A 7,305-nucleotide genomic window follows, 5' to 3' on the forward strand; every position below is an offset into this window, starting at 1 on the left:
TTTCAAATTCTCACTGGTATATTGGTTACCTGCTCATCCCTCTAAAAATGATAGAGCACAGGAGACAGGGTCCCTGTTCTCTGGGCCTCTGGGCTAGCAGGAGAAAGAGATGTCGATAATCATGAATTTTTACTCCTGTTACTACTACAAAGGAAAGTGTGCAGTGCCATATAATTGTTAGGTTGTTTTGTATTATGAATTACATGGAAGGATTTTGATAGTTTTTCAGTGCTTAGGGTTTCTAAAGCTTTTCATCTGGCTCTGCCTGCCTTTATCGGGAACTGTATCAAGTGCCATATCAAGATGGGTATTTATCCTGAGGAAAAATTTAAAAATATACACAAATATTTATACTTGGAGATAGATGTTTGTGGGCACATTAGACTTGGAAAAAAAATTTTTTTTTTTTTGTTTTTTTTTTTTTAAGGCAGTGTTTCACTCTTTTTGCCCAGGCTGGAGTGCAATGGCGTGATCTCAGCTCACTGCAGCCTCCGCCTCCTGGGTTCAAGCGATTCTCCTGCCTCAGCTTCCTAAGTAGATGGGATTACAGGCATGTGCCACCACGCCCAGCTAATTTTGTATTTTTATTAGAGACAGGGTTTCATCATGTTGGTCAGGCTGGTCTCGAACGCCCGACCTCAGGCAATCCACCCACCTCGGCCTCCCAAAGTGCTGGGATTACAGACGTGAGCCACCGTGCCCAGCCAAAAAAAAGTCTAACTTTTAAATTTATTTAAAAAGTTTTTCAAATAGAGACTAGATCTCACTATGTTGACCAGGCTGGTCTTGAACTCCTGGCCTCAAGGAATCCTGCCTCAGCCTCCCAAAGTTCTGGGATCACAGGGAGGAGCACCATACCTGGCCAAAGTCTAATTTTTTTTTTCCGGTGAGCTCAAAAGCTGCCAGAAAAAAAAAAAAAAAAAAAAAAAACCCAAAAAACAAAAAAAACAGGTCTAAAAGACAACTGGGTAAGTAAATTGTCCAGACAGTGAAATATAGCTATTGCTATTTAATCATTTATGGAATAATTTCCAGTGACAATAGATGCTAACAATATAGTGAGAAAAATGGTTGGTCAATTATTTACAGATTGTCTTAAGAAAAAAATGCATTGAAAAGACAATAGGGAACTATCCCAATGTGCTAAAAGTGGGGAGATCATACTTCTCTGTAATTCTCAAATTTTCTTGGTGCATGTTTGATACTTTTCTAGAGGAGAAAATTAAACACCTGGGGGAGGAAAACAGGAAGCTGTTGTGGCACCTGTCACCACCTGGGGGATCACGAGGCAGCTGGTGTCTTGGGCTCTGCAGGTTGGTGGTGCAAAGACCCAGGCGGGAAGTGGGCTGGGCAGGTGGAGGAGCAGTTTCCACACTACATAGGTGCAGGACATGACAAAGTCTGGCTGTGTAAATGACTTAAGAATTAAGCTATAAAATACCTAGGAATCCAACTTACAAGGGATGTGAAGGACCTCTTCAAGGAGAACTACAAACCAGTGCTCAAGGAAATAAAAGAGGATACAAACAAATGGAAGAACATTCCATGCTCATGGGTAGGAAGAATCAATATTGTGAAAATGGCCATACTGCCCAAGGTAATTTACAGATTCAATGCCATCCCCATCAAGCTACCAATGACTTTCTTCACAGAATTGGAAAAAACTACTTTAAAGTTCATATGGAACCAAAAAAGAGCCCACATCACCAAGTCAATCCTAAGCCAAAAGAACAAAGCTGGAGGCATCACACTACCTGACTTCTTCAAACTATACTACAAGGCTACAGTAACCAAAACAGCATGGTACTGGTACCAAAACAGAGATATAGATCAATGGAACAGAACAGAGCCCTCAGAAATAACACCGCATATCTACAACTATCTGATCTTTGACAAACCTGACAAAAGCAATGGGGAAAGGATTCCCTATTTAATAAATGGTGCAGGGAAAACTGGCTAGCCATATGTAGAAAGCTGAAACTGGATCCCTTCCTTACACCTTATACAAAAATCAATTCAAGATGGATTAAAGACTTACATGTTAGACCTAAAACCATAAAAACCCTAGAAGAAAACCTAGGCATTACCATTCAGGACATAGGCATGGGCAAGGACTTCATGTCTAAAACACCAAAAGCAATGGCAACAAAAGACAAAATTGACAAATGGGATCTAATTAAACTAAAGAGCTTCTGCACAGCAAAAGAAACTACCAACAGAGTGAACAGGCAACCTACAAAATGGGAGAAAATTTTCGCAACCTACTCATCTGACAAAGGGCTAATATCCAGAATCTACAATGAACTCAAACAAATTTACAAGAAAAAAACAACCCCATCAAAAAGTGGGCGAAGGACATGAACAGACACTTTTCAAAAGAAGACATTTATGCAGCCAAAAAACACATGAAAAAATGCTCACCATCACTGGCCATCAGAGAAATGCAAATCAAAACCACAATGAGATACCATCTCACACCAGTTAGAATGGCAGTCATTAAAAAGTCAGGAAACAACAGGTGCTGGACAGGATGTGGAGAAATAGGAACACTTTTACACTGTTGGTGGGACTGTAAACTAGTTCAACCATTGTGGAAGTCAGTGTGGTGATTCCTCAGGGATCTAGAACTAGAAATACCATTTGACCCAGCCATCCCATTACTGGGTATATTCCCAAAGGACTACAAATCATGCTGCTATAAAGACGCACACGTATGTTTATTGCGGCACTATTCACAATAGCAAAGACTTGGAACCAACCCAAATGTCCAACAACGATAGACTGGATTAAGAAAATGTGGCACATATACACCATGGAATACTATGCAGCCGTAAAAAATGATGAGTTCATGTCCTTTGTAGGGACATGGATGAAATTGGAAATCATTCTCAGTAAACTATCACAAGAACAAAAAACCAAACACTGCATGTTCTCACTCATAGGTGGGAATTGAACAATAAGAACACATGGACACAGGAAGGGGAACATCACACTCTGGGGACTGTTGTGGGGTGGGGGGAGGGGGGAGGGATAGCATTAGGAGATATACCTAATGCTAAATGACGAGTTAATGGGTGCAGCACACCAGCATGGCACATGTATACATATGTAACTAACCTGCACATTGTGCACATGTACCCTAAAACTTAAAGTATAATAATAATAAAATAAAAAAAGAATTATTCTCTTAAAAAATTGTGAATGTTACATTATTCATGTTTTTACATTAAAAACATGAATAGATGTTGAAACTAATTTCTTTGGAAATCTTCGGATATAGACTATTACCTATTAATATAATACTGATAATGATATCAGTATTATATTAGTCAAAAGTTCTAAATTCATCTTGGGATTTTAGAAATTATATTGAAGCTAGCATCAATGAGCAATACAATTATTGTTGATAACCCAAATTTATCAGAGACGTGGCATCTTAAAATTTTACTCAGATTATGCATTTGGGTGACTTTGTAGTCCGCAAAATTTGCAGTCACTAAGGCTAAGGTTAAGAAAACTATTTTATAAATGGACAAAGGACATGAACAGACACTTTTCAAAATAAGACATTCATTTGGTCAACAAATAAATGAAAAAATGCTCAACATTACTAATGAAATGCAAATCAAAACCACAATGAGATACCATCTCACACCAGTCAGAATGACTATTATTAAAAAGTCAAAAAAGTAACATGTTAGTGAGGTTGCAGAGAGAAGGGGACTTATACTCTGTTGGTGGGAGTGTAAATCAGTTCAGCCACTGTGGGAAGCAGTTTGGAAATTTCTCAAAGAACTTAGAACTACCATTTGACCAAGTAGTCCCATTACAGAGTATATACCCAAAGGAGAATAAATCACTACCCAAAAGACACATGCACTCATATGTTCATTGCAGCAGTATTCATGATAGCAACGACGTGGAATCAACCTGGATGCCCATCAATGGTGGACTGGATAAAGCAAATGTGATACATATGCAATATAGAATACTATGCATCCGCGAAAAAGAACAAAATCACGACCTTCGCAGCAGCATGGTTGCCGCTGGAGGCCATTATCCTAAGCAAATTAACACGGGAACAGAAAACCAAATACCACAGATTCTCACTTATAAGTGACAGCTAAACATTTAGTACACATGAACATAAAGATAGGAACGGCAGACACTGCAGACTACCAGAGAGGTGGAGGGGGATGAAGGTTGAAAAACTGTTGGGTACTATGCTCACTCTTCTGGGTGACGGGATCATTTGTACACCAAACCTCAGCGACATGCAGTTTATCCATGTAACAAACCTGCATGTGTACTTCAGAACCTGGAATAAAAGTCAAAAACAAAACAAAAGCCATTTTACAAAGACGCGATTTAAATTATTTGTAATCAATTTAAATATATTAATTAAATTAAAAAAAAATTTTTTTTTGAGATGGAGTTTCACTCTTGTTGCCCAGGCTGGAGTGCAATGGCACGATCTCGGCTCACTGCAACCTCTGCCTCCCCGGTTCAAGCGATTCTCCTGCCTCAGCCTCCCGAGTAGCTGCTATTACAGGCGCCTGCCACCATGCCAGGCTAATTTTTGTATTTTTAGTAGAGACAAGGTTTCACCACATTGGCCAGGCTGGTCTTGAACTCCTGACGTCAGGTGATCCACCCGCCTTAGCTTCCCAAAGTGCTGGGATTACAGGCGTGAGCCACCGTGCCCGGCCCAAATTCCTTAAACACTCACACCCATATATACATTACCTACTCTTAAATAATGACAAAGGTAATAACAACTTACTTTATCTCCAGGGCAAGTGTAAGTGATTTAAATTTCATTTAATCTAGTATTTTAGAAAGGAAAATCCAAACTCTTGCATAAGCTGTAATACCATGTTTGCATTTTTATTTTACACTGTGGGAAAAATGGGAGAGAATATTTATATAGAACTATTGTATGTCCAAAGTTCACAAATTGATTTACTTTGGAGTAAAATTGAATTATCATATTTATTTTACGATCATAACTTCTATTTTTTGTTTTTAAGATCTTAGGACAAAAAGGTTTGTAAATAAAATATCTTTCAATCTGTAACTATATATTTGAATGAAATTTAGACCCAGAACCTGGAATAAAAGTCAAAAACAAAACAACTTTTAGAAACTTAGACCCAAAACTTTTTGTATTATTTTTATTTTCTCTTTAGTCTTTACGTGACTATTAATCACTAGCCTATTGCCCATTTGTATTTCTTTTGTATTTTTTCTTGTAACACAGCAGGGACCCTGAAGTCATTAAACCAAAGTAAGATTTCCTTTATTTCCATCCAACAACTTTTTAAAGGAGATAAAGTGTTTGTGTTAGAGAATAGGAATGTTTAATCTTTTGTTAATAAATTATTACTTTATTCACACTAATTCATACGTGTTTATTTTTTTTCTTCACATCAATGTAGTAGTTACTTTTAACCATGACTTTATAATTCAAAGTAATCCAGTGTTTCATTTGAAAAAACCTTTCCCAAGTAGAAAACCTTCATTTTAAGATTTAGTTCTATGAACTATCAGCCCATGGGGAATATTAACATATTTAGTAGATTTGGGCAAATTAAGGTGGTGACAATTAAGAATGTGTTCTCATTTTCCAAGTAGGAAAGTTTTTCGTAAAGGGCAAGTGCATTTAAAGCATTCAGAGTTTGGTTTGGGATTTACCTTTTCTTGGGAAGTATATTAGTTATATCTTGCTGCATAAAAACCACTCCAAAATTTAGTGGCTTAAAACAACAATAATTAATTATCTCTGACTATTCTGTGGATTGGCAATCTGGGCGCTTCTTCGCTGTACTCACCGGGGAACATTCATGGGGCCACCTGCCGTCATTTGATGCCTCAACTAGGGCTGGGATGTTCCAAGGTGGAGGAGAATTCCTCAGTAGGTGAGACGGCCTCGTTACAGCATGGTGGTCTCAGGGTGTCAAAATGACAGAGCAGGAACTGCAAAGCCTCTCAAAAGCAAGTCTCTGGATCTCACACAATCTCACTCCTGTCACCTTTCATTGGTCAAAACAAATTATTTATTTTACAAGGCTCTGCCTTTGGTCCCACAGGCAGGAGGTCAGACTGCTGCATCAGGGCAGGCATAACTGGGGCCGCCTGTCCCTGTGGAGAATGACCCTTGGTGGCCTGGGCTGGCTGCAGGGGCTTTGCAGCCTCCACCCATACACCCAAGCTGGAAATGACTTAGGGGGCCAACAGGGACACTATAGGCCCTGCTGCATAGCGAGTGTCCTGCATGTGCACCTGTACATTCCTCCCCTCCCTGAGTTGTACGGGCTGCACTGTGCCTTTACCCTAAGTCCCTTCACAGTCAGTCCCTGGCTGTTGTCCCTTTGTGGTGGTCAGCAAGAGACGTGCAGTTTCAGTTCCATGCAGAGTGGGATGGCAACTTCAGGGAGGGGAGTTAGTTAGTCTAACTAATATCAGTTAGACGTTATTTTACTTATAAGTTCAACCCTGAATCAAGGGTGTGAAGAAATAGACTCCATCTCTTGATGGGGAGATGGAGAGAGAAGAAATGACACACTGCAAAGAGATGTGGATACAGGGAGGTATGATTTATTGACGATTATTATGATAGTGACCTATCACCAGTAGCCTTTAAGAGTCCTTCCAGGATTCATATAGATGCTTAATGGTCTTTCTTATATCAACTAAAGTAGGAATTCATTGCAATTGAGACACTTTCTGGTCTTTAAATATAAGAATATTCTAGAGACGGGCAAACTATTCTAGGTCAAAGTTTCCTCAAGTGGAAACTGTACGACTGGGTTTTATTCAATTTACCCATTTGTTTTTCTTTAGAAATATACAGCCTCTGCAGACACTGCTTCTGAATGAACGGGCTGGAGTTTCCTTGGGATCCTGAACTCATATTGGATTCTCTACCTACCATCTTGGACAATTCATGTAGGAAAACAAATCCTCATTTGTTCAAACAATAGATGAAAATTATTAAAGTTTTGACACATATTAAATGGCGGCCTTGTGTTTCAAAGAAAAGGAAAGAGATAGTTGAATCAGGGTAAAACAACCCACTCACAACCTTAGGCTAAGACACTCACACAGCTTGTCTTCTAGCAAACTGCGTATTTAATCTGCTAAGGCAATGGGGACCTTGTCTTGAGATAGAACTGCCACTCAGGGTCATATCTTTTGTTCTCCTCTAAACTCTACTCTAGTTGAAGTTTTCTAACAATCTGGGAACCCTTATCCCCCAATCCCTGCAGAATGGCTTAATCTAACACGTCGTAAAGAAGGAAACTT

General features: G+C 39.1%; 1 protein-coding gene across 5 annotated transcripts in view; it reads left to right on the top strand.

Moving 5' to 3' along the window:
* PEX5 (peroxisomal biogenesis factor 5) overlaps positions 1–7,016 on the top strand; it is a 29,922-nt gene extending 22,906 nt beyond the window's left edge. For 4 of the 5 annotated variants that reach the window (NM_001131026.2, XM_047429257.1, XM_047429259.1 and 1 more), the window contains one exon: positions 6,844–7,016. The gene's annotated coding sequence lies outside the window, so the exon portion shown is untranslated. Of the gene's footprint in view, positions 1–1,213; positions 1,314–6,843 lie in introns of all 5 variants that reach the window. The other variant, XR_007063107.1, reaches the window with a different exon arrangement.

This window comes from Homo sapiens, chromosome 12 (genome assembly GCF_000001405.40).
Source record: "Homo sapiens chromosome 12, GRCh38.p14 Primary Assembly".
In the NCBI taxonomy this organism is placed as follows: domain Eukaryota; kingdom Metazoa; phylum Chordata; class Mammalia; order Primates; family Hominidae; genus Homo; species Homo sapiens.